Source organism: Homo sapiens, chromosome 3 (genome assembly GCF_000001405.40).
Source record: "Homo sapiens chromosome 3, GRCh38.p14 Primary Assembly".
Lineage (NCBI taxonomy): Eukaryota > Metazoa > Chordata > Mammalia > Primates > Hominidae > Homo > Homo sapiens.
The window spans coordinates 17,548,605-17,564,967 of record NC_000003.12 but is presented as its reverse complement, the minus strand read 5'-3'; the positions used below and the strand labels follow the sequence as shown (position 1 = coordinate 17,564,967).

The window sequence follows — 16,363 nt, the reverse complement described above, 5'->3', positions numbered from 1 at the left end:
TTCATTTTTTTCTAATATAATTGAGCAAAAGCACAACAAAAATGAATATATGATGTTGATTTTTGGGCTCATTTTATTTTTTTCTTCTTTTTTTCCCACTCATGGTACTACTGTGCATTGTGACAGGTTCAAAATTAAAAATAATCTGTAAGCAGGATGTTCAGGTCATCATGATTTGATGTCTGGATGCTGATTTGTTTTTAACATATAGGAAAAAAAGATAGCCATTTGTCTATGCTGACTACTTAAGAGAGAGGTGAGGATTTGATGAGATCCTCAGCAGTAGTGGTGGGGCATACATAGGGCATCAACTAGCATGGTGGGTAGGATGGGTGAATGCAGATTCTAAATATATTAGAAGTTCCTTGCCTGGAACTCCTACCTCCTTCTTTCTTCAAGAATCAGTTCAAATTTATTTCTTTCATAAAATATTTTAGCTTGTACATTCATTGTCACTTTGTACACTAATCATGTTGAATTATAATTGTTTACATGTCTTTTTGATAAAACTGTAGGCCCATGAAGCTTAAGGGGGGTAGTAATTTATTTATATTTTTGCCTCCAATGTTTTCAGCCAATGATTTGATTCATAGTAGATGCATAATAAATGCTGGTTAAAAAATGAATAAAAGTATTTCACTTTATAGGGTATGGCTATCATGAAAGAGAATGCAGTGGATCTGTGAGGAGCCCTGTAAAGTTTTTCAACTTTTAAGTAATGATAAAAATATTTTTATAAAGTAATGTCTGGGGAGGTCGTTTTTTTCCTCCAATTTGCTTTTCCAGTTTAAACTATCTTTATTTTTTGTTAATGTATAAGTACTCCATGTTTTTGCTAAAATAGTCAAACAATACAGAAATGTATGAAGTTAAAAATCACCTGTAAGGCCGGGCACGGTGGCTCATGCCTGTAATCCCAGCACTTTGGGAGGCCAAGGCGGGCGGATCACAAGGTCAGGAGATCGAGACCATCCTGGCTAACACGGTGAAACCCCGTCTCTACTAAAAATACAAAAAATTAGCCAGGCATGGTGGCGGGCGCTTGTAGTCCCAGCTACTCGGGAGGCTGAGGCAGGAGAATGGCGTGAAGCCAGGAGGCGGAGCTTGCAGAGAGCTGAGATCAAGCCACTGCACTCCAGCCTGGGCAACAGAGGGAGACTCCGTCTCAAAAAAAACCAAAAAAACAAAAAACAAAAAACAAAAACAACAACAACAAACCACCAGTAATTCTTTCCCCAGTGATGACCATTGTTTCTTACTTGGATATGTCCTTCCAGACTCCTTTTTAAAAATATGTTTGTCTTCTCTCATTTCCTTTTTAAAATTTTATAAGCCCTTTCTAAAGATACTGTTTTGAAATCTTAATTCTTTACTCTTCACATTGTGAATCTATAACCTTATATTATACAGAATGTACTTTGATAATTCCAGGTGACATTTTCAGACCTTAAATTTAACTTTACTCCGTTTTGAAATATATTTTTGCCTTTGCTTCTATGATATTATACCTTCCTGATTTTCCTGATTCATTGTGTTGTATTCCTCAAGATCTAGTGCTTTTCTCTTCTCACTGTACCCTTTTCTTGGTAATCTAGTCTGTGTCTATGACTTCAGTTAACCACTTTGTATGCAAGACTCCCAAGTTAACAGATCCAGCCTAGGCTATTGTTATGACCTCCAGGCCCGCATACCGAACTATTTGATGTCGCTTTTCTTGGATTCCATGATGGATCCTCAAATTTGACGAGTCTAGAATTAAATTTATTATATTCTTCCTTTGTTCAGACCTTCTCTGTCTAGTATTCCCAATTTTAGTCAAGAATATCTTTCTATCCAGTTGTGCAACCTGAAAACTCTCTCTTACTCACTATAACTAATCCATCAACAAATATCCCCTCATCATTTACATAACTGTGATATACTTACGGATTTGTTTAGGACTTAGTTTTAATCCGTTGATCTGTATGTCTCTCTTTACACAAACCTTACACTTTTAAGTAAGAGGATTTATTGTTTTTCTGCATTACAGGGCTATTCCCTTTATATCATTATTCTTTTAAAAATTGTAGGTATTCTCAGACAATCTACATAGACTTCAGAATCTTCCTGCCATCTTCTGTCTCACAGTCCCTTTGGAATTTTTATTAGATTTGCATTAGATGTATTGATTATAGAAAATTTATATATCCCCAATAATGAGCATTCCCATCCAGGAATATGTTGTGCATCTTGATTTGCCATTTGGGTCCTTCAAACAAGTCACACATTTTTTTATATCTAGGTTTTCACAATGCACCAAGACTGTTGTTGCCCTTGTGCTGGGTTATTTTAGTTATGGTTGGTATTGGTTTGTCTGGTGTTTAGCACAGTCCCTGGCATATCACTCACAGTAAATATTAAGTTTTGAGCAGTGTTTAGTGTATAGGGAATCTTTCTTTCTTTTTTTTTTTTGTTTTAAGTCATGCAGTCTTACTCATTTTATGATTTAAAAATTTTTTAATTTCATTATCTTGAATAGTTATAGACACTATTAGGTGCAAATTATAATTTTGTCTTCCTTTTAAAATTTATACTTCTAATTTCTTTTACTTGACCTATTGGGTTGGGTAAAATCTCTCTAACAATGTTGAATTAATAGGATTGGCATTAATAGCTAATATCTTTAGGTGTCTGTTTTTAAATGTCAAAATCCATTTATGTTTTGCCATTATAAATACTATTTGTGGGTTTTTTTTCACCCTAATGCTGTATTGACCAATGGAAGTTTTATATTTTGTTTGCTTAGTTTATTTTTATTTTAATTTAATTAATTAAATTTTTTTTAGAGATGGGGTCTCACTCTGTCATCCAGGCTGGAATATAGTGGCACAATCATAGCCCATTGTAGCCTCCATCTCAAGGACTCAGGGGATCCTCCCTTCTAGGCCTCCCAAGTAGCTGGGATTACAGGTATGTGCCATCATACTCTGCTAATTGAAACAAAGTTTTTTTTAATCAAAGGTTTGCCATATTCAGTGACACATTGTATGGTCTTTTTTCCTGTAGTTGACTTACATAATCAGTTAATAGACTTTCTAATCTTTAACTGCCCTTGCATTTTTGGAAAGATTACTTCTTGTTCGTGATGTTTTGTGAGATCGTTCCTCTTGTGCTCTCTTTGTCATGTTTTGGGGTTAGGATCATGCCAACATAAAATGAACTGGGACAGTTTCTTTCTTTTTGGAAATTTGTCCTTTCTTAGAACAGATTTGTCCTTTCTTATTTTTTATTTTATTTAGGTCTTCAAATTCGTTGGCCTAAAGCTGTACATAATACTCCTCACCCTCCCACTCCAGTGTTTAAATAATCTTATTGAGGCCTGGTATTATATTATTTTTCTTGCTGTTACTAACAATACTTTATGTTTTTTCGCCTTCCACTTGGTCAACTTATCAAAATTTAGTCTATTTTATTGAGCTTGCAAAGAAGGAAATAACTAGCTTGTTTGCTTCTCTGTCTGCTAATTTATTTGGTTTATTTTGTTTTTATAATCTTCTTAAGATAAGTGCTGGCTCATTTATTTGTTATATTTTCTTTTGTTTTACATTTAGCAGAGTGTTAATCTATGATTTTTTTGCTCTTACTAGAGCTTTGATTGAACCCTCTAAGTTTTTATGTATATATGTAAAAAAGTATATCATATGTATGATATGTGTATGAAATTAATTTGCTTTAATTAGCTTTTAACCTTTTCATTATAACATAGATCACAGATACAGGAAACCATTCAAAACAAATATATGTCTTCGTGAATTATTTTAAGGTAAACATGCCTGTAATTATTACTTAGGTCAAGAAATAGAACTTTGCCAGCCACTGCAGAAGCTCTTCCATGTGTTCTGTGCCAATCACAGCCCTCTTTTTCCCTCCAAAAGTAACTTCTGACTTTCAGAATAATAATTTATTTCTGTTTCTTTATGGTTTTGTGACTTAGGTGTGCGTCTCTAGACACTATAGTTTAGTATTGTTCATGTTCATTTAAAAAAACTATTTTTCTTTTTTTTTTTTGAGATGGAGTCTTGCTCTGTCGCCCAGGCTGGAGTGCAGTGGTGTAATCTCTGCTCACTGCAACCTCTGCCTCCTGGGTTCAAGTGATTCTCCTGCCTCAGCCTCCCTAGTAGCTGGGATTACAGACGCGGGCCACCACACCCAGCTAATTTTTGTATTTTTAGTAGAGATGGGATTTCACCATGTTGGTCAGGCTGGTCTTGAACTCCTGACCTCATGATCCACCTGCCTCAGCCTCCCAAAGTGCTGGGATTACAGGTGTGAGCCACTGTGTCCGCCCCCCACCCCCCCTTTTTTTTTTAAAGACAAGGTTTTACTCTGTTGCCCAGGTCAGAGTGCAGTGGCATAATCATAGCTCACTGCAGCCTTCAACTCCTGGGCTCAAGTGATCCTCCTGCTGAAGCCTCCTGACTAACTAGGACTACAGATTCATACCACCATGGCTGGCTAATTTTTCAATTTTTTTAGAGACAGGGTGTCTCACTTTGTTGCCCAGGCTAGTCTTGAACTCCTGGCTTCAAGTGATCCTCCCAACTTGTCCTTTCAAAGTGACAGGATTACAGGGGTGAGCCACTGAGTCTGGACTATATTTGCCTTTGAAGACTTTCTTAAACAATAGGTTTTCCCTCCAGCCCTTTCTTTTCTTTATATGTTATTCACTGAAGTACCTGAGTTGTTTGACCTGCTGAGTTCCTTGTAGTCTGGATTTTGTCGATCTTGTCTTCATGGTGAAGTTAAACATTTTGTTCTATATTTTTTTCTAAGTTGGCAGGTACAGTCAGAGTTTGATTGCATTTAAACTTAATCCCTTAGATAGGACTATAGGTGCCATTGTATTTTCTCATCAGGAGGCACATAGTATCTTTTTAAAATTTTAAATGTTGGCAGGTATTGATTCTCAAACCCTGCATCCATTAACTCATCACATCATATGTTATATAGTGTTTTTGTTATATAAAGTAACTAGAAATGAAATGTTTCAATTTGATTATCTAATAAGGACTTTTTTATCATTAAAAAAATTCTAGATTTGGCCGGGCGCGGTGGCTCACGCCTGTAATCCCAGCACTTTGAGAGGCTGAGATGGGCGGATCATGAAGTCAGGAGTTCGAGACCAGCCTGGCCAATATAGTGAAACCCCGTCTGTACTAAAAATACAAAAAATTAGCCGGGCATGGTCGTGGGCGCCTGTAATCCCAGCTACTCGGGAGGCTGAGGCAGGAGAATCGCTTGAACCCAGGACGTGGAGGTTGCAGTGAGCCGAGATCGCGCCGTTGCACTCCAGCCAGGGCAACAGTGCAAGACTCCACCTCAAAAAAAAAAAAATTCTAGATTTGTATTGTGGTCAGTGAATGTGAATTCCACATTCTCACAATGTATGAACATGATCTTTATCTCCTCTTACATAGGAAAATTTGCAAATATCCTGTGGCATTTGTAAAGATTATCTTATTTTCCTTGTCATTTAAATGTTTTAGGCCGGGCTTAGTGGCTCATGCCTGTAATACCAGCATTTTGGTGGGAGGCCGAGGTGGGCAGATGACTTGAGGTCAGGAGTTTGAGACCAGCCTGGCCAACATGGTGAAACCCGATCTCTACCAAAAATGCAAAAAATTAGCTGGGTGTGGTGGCCATGCCTGTAATCCCAGCTACTTGGGAGGCTGAGGCAGGAGAATCGCTTGAACCTAGGAGGCAGAGGTTGCAGGGAACCGAGATGCCACTGCACTCCAGCCTGGGCAACAGAGCGAGACATTGTCTTAAAAAAAAAAGTTTTACATTTATATAGCTATTAAAAATGAAGTCTTATTTATTTATTTATTTATTTATTTATTTATTTAAGAGAAAGAGAATAGAAAATAGACCGTAAAATATTTAGGAAATTGATGCAGAAAATATGGGGAATGAAAGATCTAGTTTCTATTTTGTGATTGAAGGCTGAGAGTGTGGTTAAACATGTGATTTAGAACAGGGGTTGATAAAATGTGGCCTATGAGGCAAATCTGGCCTGGCATCCATTTTTGTACAACCTACAAACCAAGAATGGTTTTATGTTTTTAAGCAGTTTAAAAAATTCAAGGTAGGAATGCTATTTCTTGACTTATGAACATTATATGAAATTCACAGTTGTGTCCATAAAGTTTTATTGTAACACAGCGATGCTTATTAGTTTACAGCAAAGTTAAGTAGTTGCAACAGGTACCGTATGGCCCACAGAGCCTAAGATATTTACTATGTCTAGTTCTTTTTCAGAATAATGTTGCCAATACCTAGCTGAGAACAACCCGTTTTTCCTCACCTTTCTCACTCCCATTTAATCTGTTATTTACAATAAATAATTTCTTGTGGGAGAACCTTTTGAAAAATATTCCCATATATAACTGTATGAATTCAACCTGTTCATGACTATTAGTTTTTGATCACATTGAAATTCATTATTTTTTTGGCCTTTTAAATTATTTTATTATTTATTATTATTGGATACTTTTAAAATAGATGTCCATTTTATATTGACTATGTTATTAAATCAGTGGCTTTTCCTAAATGCTTTTTAGACAGTCTTGGCAATTATTACTATTAAATTGTAATTTAAGGTGATAATTTTATATTGTATAGTTGGTTACATTTGTGTTTTCCATAAAGATTTCCTTATTTACATAAAGTCACATTGCACCTTAAGTAAACAAATTGTTGAAATCATTCAGAGAGCAAATCCTCTCAGGTTTTGGGATAGGATTGTGATTTTATTAAGGATTAAATTTTAGAGTTGACTTTCGTTTCTTATAATGTCATAGTTTATTGTTGTTTTTGGGAGCTATAAAATAGAATTATAGTAGAACAAGGGTTCTTGAAAAAGTACTCTGGTAATATGTATATGGGTAGAGAGAAGAACTTGGTTGTTGTAAACCATGCATATGGGTTACTCTAATCCACAAGAGATAGGTTTTGCATCATGAAAATTTCTAATGTGTTCATAACATGATTGTGCTGGGTAATCAGAAAGCCAGGATTGACTCATTCCCAGAAATTCAGTATACCCCTGTTTTGTTCTGGTGTGTAGCTGTGTCTTTCTTTGTGTCTGTATCCTGGTTGTTTTACTAAAATTTCTGATATTTATGTCCTGATAAATTTTAAAATGTTAATTTTTAACATTTAAAAAAAATTTACCTATGGCTGTTGCTTGGTTCGGATACAAAGAACAAAAATTAATTGGGCATGGTTGCATGTGTCTGTTGTCCCAGCCACTAGGGAAGGTGAGGTGGGAGGATCACTTGAGCATGGGAGGTTGAGGCAGCAGTGAGCAGTGACTATGCCACTACACTCCAGCCTGGGTGACAGAGTGAGACCCTGTCTCAAAAACAACAATAACAACAACAACAAAACAAACAAAACAAAGAATGCCAGAAGGTAGACCATAAATGGAAGTTGCAATGAAAGCAAGCAAAATATATTTCCATTTTAATGCTTGTTAGCAGCCAATTGCATTGTTAAACTTTATATTTTTATTTGGAAGAGTGACGTATTGGCACACAAACTTCTTATCCTCAAAAACATACATCCAAATGGAATGTTATTTTATGTAAGCTATTGTGTGGCAAAATAGCTCTGAGAAAAGGGAGCCTATCCCTCTTGGTTTTTTTTCTCCCATAGGAGAAAGGCCATATAAAGCCAAAGGTTTCATAGCTATCTTGTTTCTAAGATTGTTCGTGGAAAATTTCTTAATTTTTATTATGATCAATTATTGATGTATAAATATCTGGTTCTATTTACCAACAAATAGTCAGAATTGATACCAGCTCCTTGACCAATCGGTTAAACATTTGTCAGCACTAATATGCTTTTCGTTCATGTTAAGCAGTTGTTTTTATTTTTTATTTTTATTTTGTGTTGAGGGAGGAAGGTACTTTAGGTTGTGTGACATGAATTTTGTAGCAATATAAAAATGTAAATTTGCGTTGGCTTTTCCTACTCTGACTTTTCCTACATGTGTGTTTGCCAGTGTCTTAAATGGGTTTCTTCTACTTCTTTATCCTTTTATTTCTGTTTGTATTTGTCAAAACAAAAGAAGTGGTCAGTGAGTATAGTTCACTTCTGTATGTAAATTATTGTTCTAAGGCAGTTACTAATGGTAACTTCATGCTCTTAATGGTTCTGTAGTGTATAACAATCATTTATGGAAAGTTTTCCTAAGTAAATTGTTAATAAAAATAATTATATTATCAAAATTTGAAAATGAGTTACCTTTTTGATAAATCAGAGCTAATTTAAGATTATCTTTTAAAAATGTCACTCTTGATCAGTTGCATTCTATTAAGCTTTCAGGGATGAGACAGAAAGGTATGCAATAAGACATGCCAAAATCAAACCTTATGCTCTTGGAGATTATTCCGATATTAGCTTGTAAGATGGCATCGAGAGGAGAAACCAAAGGTGTAGAGGCAGGCTTAGTAGTTATTGTAATGTCTGTGGTAAGCAATGAGGAGAGCCTAGATTGAGTAGTGACTAGTCATGAAAAGGTGAAGATGATGATGAAAATACAGGAAATGGAAATGAATTTTAAACCAATAGAAATTTCTTATTTTTTTGTAGGCTTAAAAACAAACTAGGCTAAGCACGGTGGCTCATGCCTGTAATCCCAGCACTTTGGGAGGCCAAGGCGGGTGGATCACCTGAGGTCAAGAGTTCACGACCAGCTTGGCCAACATGGTGAAACCCTGTCTCTAACTAAAAATACAAAAAAACTAGCCAGGTGTGGTGGTACATACCTGTAGTCCCAGCTACTTGGGACACTGAGGCAGGAGAGTCACTTAAACCTGGGAGGCAGAGGTTGCAGGGAGCTGAGATTGCGCCACTGCCTGGGTGACAGAGCGAGACCCTGTCTCAAAAAAAAAACCAAACTATTAAATATCAGCAATTTCAGTGGTTAGAGATGTAAACCAAAAATAAAATTCTAAGCCCCCAATCAACTGAATGGATCCTCTTGTTGTCCAAGGGGATTCCAAAGAACCCCGAAAAACTTGCTCAGGCCATGACAGGAATGGAAAGGTCGGTCATGGCTTGTTTGTACTCTTCTTGCTTTGGAGTTCAGGCACAAAACTGAGCAGCATTAACATTAAAATAGAGATTAGAAGACTGACAAAACAGACTCTTTGTAGCACTAAGATAACAAATACCACCCTGATTGTAGTATAGCATCACATGACAGATAGCAGGCCCTGTAAGAAATCAAAGCATTTTACCCCATATTTAACATGTTTTGAAATGGCCCTTCAGGGTTATCTCTTGTGGGAGAAGTTTACATTCTGAATAGAATCACAGTCCCATTCCTTTCCCAGCTGTTTTTCTGATCCTGAAGAGATTAGCTGGGAGTCCAATACCTTTTAAAGATTTAATAGGAGAAACAGTTGCCATCTATTGCCTCTGAAGATGACCACTTAACTCTTTCAGCTAATTGCCAACCAGAAAATCTTTGAATCCACCTATGACCTGGAAGCCCCCTTTGCTTTGAGATGCCCCGCCTTTCTGGACAGAACCAGTGTATACCTCACATATATTGATTCATGTCGTATGTATCCCTGAAACGTATAAAATCAAGCTATAACCCAGCCACCTTGGGAACATGTTCTTAGGACCTCTTGAGGCTGTGCCATGTGTCGTATTCCTTAACTTTGGCAAAATAAACTTCTAAATTGATTGAGACTTGTCTCAGATACATTTTGGATTACAGAGTTAATAAATTCATTGTCAACTTGCATTAGAAAAAAAAAAGCACAAGGCCTGGCGCAATGGCTCATGCCTGTAATCCCAGCACTTTGGGAGGCCTAGGAGGGTGGATCACAAGGTCAGGAGATCGAGACCATCCTGGCCAACATGGGGAAACCCCCATCTCTTCTAAAAATACAAAAATTAGCTGGACGTGGTGGCACGTGCCTGTAATCCCAGCTACTTGGGAGGCTGAGGCAGGAGAATCGCTTGAACCTGGGAGGCGGAGGTGGCAGTGAGCCAAGATCGCGCCACTGCACTCCAGCCTGGCGACAGAGTGAGACTCTGTCTCCAAAAAAAAAGAAAAAAAAAAAGCACAGATATTAAATATATGAAAAGAAGAGATAATGGAAGGGCTTTATGAATTACAAGGAAACTGTCAGTGACACAAGCATGGAAAGATTTTAGGGAGAAAGTAGATGTGGTTTTTAGTATCCAAATTCTGCATGCCTTTTAGGATCCAGGCCAAATCCCATTTGTGTAAAGTTTTTACTCAGTACCCAAGTGCAGAAAAGTGCTCCATGATGGGGGAGAATAAAGAATGTATATATATTCGTCAGTAACCTTTGTTGGTTTTCTAGAACATGTTCCTGAGCATAACATAAGAATAATAGGAAAGTAAAGTTGTATCCCTGTGCTTCACCTCAACCAGAGTATGATCAAACTAAGCCTCTTAGATAAAACTTCCTGCCTACAGTAGTGTTTTCTTTTGCCATTTCACTATCCTTTGAGGACATGTACCAGCTTCACCCCAGGAGAGCTTCCCCACTGGTTTCATTAGCTGTGAGCAGCCATTAGAACTCTGACTGGTCTCCCACATTACTCCTCTGTGAGTTGCGTTATAATTTATTTGAAAGATTATTTCCAAACGATGTTTCGGGTGAGTTCCTTTAAAAGAATGGATTAGTGAAATGGTAAGTAATGGGCTTCGTTAATGGCTTTTTATATTGACTGATAACCTCTTCTTGATGACCTCAAGCTGTTATGTACATTTTAGGTTATTCAATGCAGTCTTTTCTCACCAAATATGTTATGGTGCTGTAGAATAGGGATTCTATCTTATATGTCCTTGTATTCCTTAATTTAGGAGACAGATGAGGTGAAAGTTGACTAAAAATAGTACGTGCCATAGAAACAGAAGATACTACATCCTTAAACTGACGTAGTAGGCTGAATGTTTAGGGAATAGATGTTGACAGGATTTAAAAGAGGGAAGGAAGGAGCACTTGTCCATAGAAAATTCAACAAGTTCCCTATTGGTAAATACTTGGATTGTTGTCAACATTTACCTTCTGTAAACAATATTGTAATGAATTATATAGGTCCTAAGTCTCTTATCTGAACCCGCAAGGGGACTAAATGTTTTGGTATTCATAATTTTCGGGATTTTAGAATTGTTAACATGATACATGTTCTAAAATTACAGAATACTTCCAGTGGAGGCAGCACTCAGTAAACAAATAAGTTACTATTTCTGATGGGAAATGTGTGATTATTCACACTGTTGGTTAAATAAAGACCATAAATAGCTTTATATCAATTCAAGTCAAATTTTGTTGCAAAAACGACTTTGTGTCAAAGTTAGGATATTGCTTGTGGTTTTTGGAGATTTGGGACATGTACATATATATGTGTGTGCTGTTAGACTTGCAGGAATAATTTCCATTTTGGATTTTCTGGATCAAGAGAAAATACATTTGTAGTTTTGTTAAATAGTACAAATCCCCCTCCCTTGGTGTTGTACCATTTCCTACTTTTTTCAGCAATGTGTGGAGGGAAAGCTGGTCTTTCCCAGTGTTACTACTAATGTGTGTTGCCAGACTTTTGGATTTTTGCCAGTGTAACAAGTAAAAAATAGAATCTCATTGTAGTTTTACAAGGAACATTTTAAAAGATAAGAATTGCAGTTCTTACGGCATTGGCTAAGGACTTTGTGTATTGACTGGTGACCTCTTTACAGTGACTATGGAGAGTTCTTTAAATAGCAGCAGGGACACATGACACCATTCCCTCTCTTTCTTACCCATCTCTCTTTTGTCTGAAATATGGTGCCCCAAGTATATTTGTGCTTAGTCTGTTAATCTAATAAAGAGTAAACACCTATCATGTAGTCAATTTTGTATTTTTTACTGAGTTTGTATAATAACAGTATATTTTCTGTCTCCCAGGCAGGATTTCAGGCTAAAACATTAATAGTAAACAAAAACACTGGTAAATGCAAAATTTTCATGTTATGCGTTAGGATATACTATTTCTCTAGCCCTGGAATTCTGGATTTATTCCAAAGCTCAGTTCTGCCTTTGGGCCTCTGTATTACCTGTTTTTTCTCACTGGAATAAATAACCTTCATCCAAACTCCCATGACAAACTCCTTTTTTTGTCACTCAACTCTGTTTAAATGTCACCTCTTCAGATATCTGAATACCCAGTCTAAAATAGACCCCATTCTCTCTCCATCTCATCAACTTTTTGAAATTTTTATCATAGCTATTAGCACCACCACCTGGTGTTTTTATATTTGTTTATTTTCTGTCTCCCACCAGTAGCATTTAAGCTCTATTTGGTCAGAGACTAGTGTCTTATTTAGTACTATGTCCTAGGGCCTAGAATAGTGCCAGGCATGTGTTCCATTTTTAGTAATTGCTCTTGGAATGAATGTCTTCTTTCATGATTTGCCTTTCTGCTTACTTCAACCTCCAGAATGTTCTTCCCCTCAACCTGGTCTAGTCAACTCCTATACATCCTTAGTGTGCTGTTTGATTTAGGAAGATGATTTATACAATTTATTCAGAAACTAATAATTATTTTGATTTTCCTTTGAAATCTTTCCAAAATTCTCTACTTGAATTATGATTTTGAAGCATAAGGTCTCTAACAGGAGGGAGCTTTGTCCAGCCATGTTAGTTCCTTTGCTTTATAAAGCTTACTTCTTTGATACTTCGGTGATTGTTATTACCTTTTTTTTTTTCTCTCTTAAGATCATAGGTCCTTGTGTTAATCATCTGGAAGGACTGATGTTCTGTATATTCAAATTTTAGTTGTTGAGTAACAGTTTTCACATATTAGAGACAGCCTAAGGGAATAAATTTACATAAAACTACAAATGTATACTGCTCAGAAACAAGGTTTCCCATGCCATTGCTCAGGTGCTGCAGATGTTGAAGATGGTATCAACACATACCATATGTGTTAGAAAATAAAAGGGGTAAGGGCAGAAGTTTAAGGAATCAGAAAAACTTCATCTGTGAATTTCTTCTTATTATAAGTTTAAAGTAGACATTATGCCTTATTTTAATACGCAGTTGTTTTTTGTGTTTATATGTTTTATGTTTTGATCACTGTTCAGTATTTAAACTCCTTCAAATGTGCAAAGATTAAATGTTTAATAAAAATTGCTTGTTGTTTTCAACATCTGTGTTCAGAGAACAATGGCCCACTGGAGTGCAGAAAGCTTGTAAAGTTTTCAAATGTATTGAGAATGACAGAAAGTTCAGTGAAGAGTTTGCTTCCCTCATTACAGAACTACTTCTGTGGCTGCGATTACACTAAGAGCATCTTTAATTGCTTTAAAATCTGAATGCATGATAAGAATGGATTAATTTGATTTTTCTGTTACTACAAGTAGCAGATGGTTTATGTCTTAGGAATGCTCATGTTGTAAAATGAGATCCCCAGCTCATCCGTGATTGGTCACTGTTAATGAAGCATGCTGTGCTGATTATTGATTTAGAAAATGAGGATGACATGAGTATTGTGTGTGTTGCTGTAATAAATTAAAGAGGAGTATTTTAATAGCCAGCAGACATACACCTTAAATAACATGAAATATTTGATTTTCTATTCAGGTGGTCTCTGCCCTGTCAAACTAATTTTATTGTTTATTAAAAAGATATACTTTTATAGTTTCAGCTAACAAGCAGATGGTCGTCTTTACTTATTTCTGTTTTGTATTGCTGTATGACCGATCAGCATGATAGGAACCCAAATTAGCTTGTTGTCTGCAAAGCAATGGTGTAGCCATGGGAGGAAATCTTTTGCTGTATGTGTGTATATTAGAGAGAGTGCATGTTTATGCACTTAAATACACACACATACACACACACACACAGAGCTATTTACTGTTTTCTTAGTGTTTAATACTTGTTTTTTAATTAAAGCTATATATTGAAAGTTTTGTAATATTTTTTTCAAATAAATTTTTAAATTATAGATGGAAGAGGAAGAGAACTGGGATTTTTTTTGGTTTTAGTTTCATGTGAACATGACATAAATTTATAGTCACATTTTATTGCAGGCACATTGTAAAAGTCAGGGTGATGACAGTTTATTGATATCTTCACTTTATATTATGTGGTATTTGGTGATGTTCACAGATATGTAAGTGCTTTATCTTTATGGCAAAATAACATTTTGTGACTCACAGTAGTTAGATTGCCCCAAGAACTAAACATATAACATATTGGATTAAAAAATTTTGAAATTATTTTATGACATTTTGTTTTACCATAATTTTAATTGTGGCCATGCAGTAAGCATTGTAGATTAGAGTGCTTCTTACCTTGACTGTGGGTAAAGCTGTAGAAGAAGACCTTCTGTGGTGTTTTTTTTTTTTGTTGTTGTTGTTGTTTTTAACTTTGTGTGTGTACCCTGTGTTTTAAATTTCAAATATTTATTGAGTCTTGTTTAACTTTTACAGGTGTGTTTCAATTCAGATGAACATGACCATTTTTAACAGTGTAGTGGTATTTCAGAGTGATGTAGAAGACTGAAATTATAGGCAGTGGAATCAGTATCCTAAAGTAAACTTTTACTGCAGATAGGAATCAGCAAGGTAATGGGGAAATCAGTATTCTTAAATGGCCCGCTTTTAACCCTGACCTTACCCATTTAACACATATTCATAGTAGTAAATATTTTCCTAACAAATACTTTAGTAATAATTCCAAAGCACATAGAAGGGGAAAGACTCAATGATTTAAGAGGTTTGATTTGATAACAATGTATCATTTATCCACGTAAACAGAATATTAGTCAATTTTGATACTCATGAGGTCATCATCCTTCATATTAAATTGTTTTACAGGAAGCCTATGAAAAACCATTAGAGATTGTGAAGTAAAATGGATTAATTGTATCTTTCACATGACAATCCACTTTGCAAAAGGATAGTAGGAAGCCATTCATTATTATTATTATTCTTATTATTACTATTATTATTATTATTATTATTTTAGACAGAGTCTCATTGTGTTGCCCAGGTTGGAGTACAGTGGCTCAATCTTGGCTCAGTGCAACCTCCGCCCCCTGGGTTCAAGCCATTCTCCTGCCTCAGCCTCACGAGTAGCTGGGAATACAGGCATGCACTACACACCCAGCTAATTTTTGTATTTTTACTAGAGACGAGGTTGCACCATATTGGCCAGGCTGGTCTTGAACTCCTGACCTCAAGTGATCCAACAGCCTTGGCCTCCCAAAGTGCTGGGATTACAGGCGTGAGCCACAGCGCCTGCGCCATTCATTATTAAAACAACTATATTGAATGGGTGACTGAAGTTACAACTTGTTACATATTTGTTGAATTTTATAGTATGACTTTTGCAACTTTTAATAAAAATCATACTAAAGGCTTGTTTTCTTAATTGTTAATGTCTCCATTTTTATTCATATATTTATTATAGAGAAAACTCATTAAAATGAACAAGGACTCGTTTTTAGATATCTTTACTTTTAAATGTTTTATGACTAGTAGTAGTGTACATCACTGAACAGAAGAAATACCAATTCTCTGCACCATAGTACAAATAAGATATAGAAAAGAAATTGCCAATTGATAATTTATTTTATTTTATCTTATTTTTTTGAGATGGAGTGTCGCTCTCTTGCCCAGGCTGCAGTGCAATGGCGCAATCTTGGCTCACTGCGACCTCTGCCTCCCAGGTTCAAGTGATTCTGTTGCCTCAGCCTCCCAAGTAACTGGGATTACAGGCATGCGCCACCACACTCGGCTATATATTTTTTTGTATTTAGTAGAGACAGGTCTTCACCATGTTGGTCAGGCTGGTCTCTAACTCCTGACCTCAGGTGATCCACCTGCCTCCGCCTCCCAAAGTGCTGGGATTGCAGGCATGAGCCACCCTGCCTGGCCACCACTTGATAATTTAATAAAGATTGTTGGAAGTAGTTTAAAATTAATAACCAAGGTTTAACAAATTATTACTGTCTAAAATAATTTTCAATAGGTAAATTTAAAGGTATTTGGAGAGTGCTACCTCCTTAGGGGTACCTTACCTTATAATTTATACTTCAATGGGCTTCAAAAAGTAAGTATTTTAATTGTATGTTTTGTAGCTTAAGTAACACATATAATTCTTTATTATGTTAGCCCAGATGAATGAATGGCTTTATTATTATTTATTGTTATAATAATAATTTTCTTGTTTAGAGCTTTAATCATAAAGCAACTCTTTGTTACACGGAGGAATAAATTAATAGCAACATTCTCTACTCTTTTCCCTACCATGTTTATGTTTAGTACATTTTCTCCCCTCAACAGTAG

At 36.0% G+C, this 16,363-nt stretch overlaps 1 protein-coding gene across 65 annotated transcripts in view; it reads left to right on the top strand.

The window, feature by feature from the left end:
• Nucleotides 1-16,363, top strand: part of TBC1D5 (TBC1 domain family member 5) — a 585,470-nt gene that overhangs the window by 177,664 nt on the left and 391,443 nt on the right. For 17 of the 65 annotated variants that reach the window (XM_047449291.1, XM_047449286.1, XM_047449301.1 and 14 more), the window contains one exon: nt 2,826-2,949. The exons of the other annotated variants lie outside the window; for them this stretch is intronic. The gene's annotated coding sequence lies outside the window, so the exon portion shown is untranslated. The remainder of the gene's footprint in view (nt 1-2,825; nt 2,950-16,363) is intronic. 65 annotated transcript variants of the gene reach the window in all.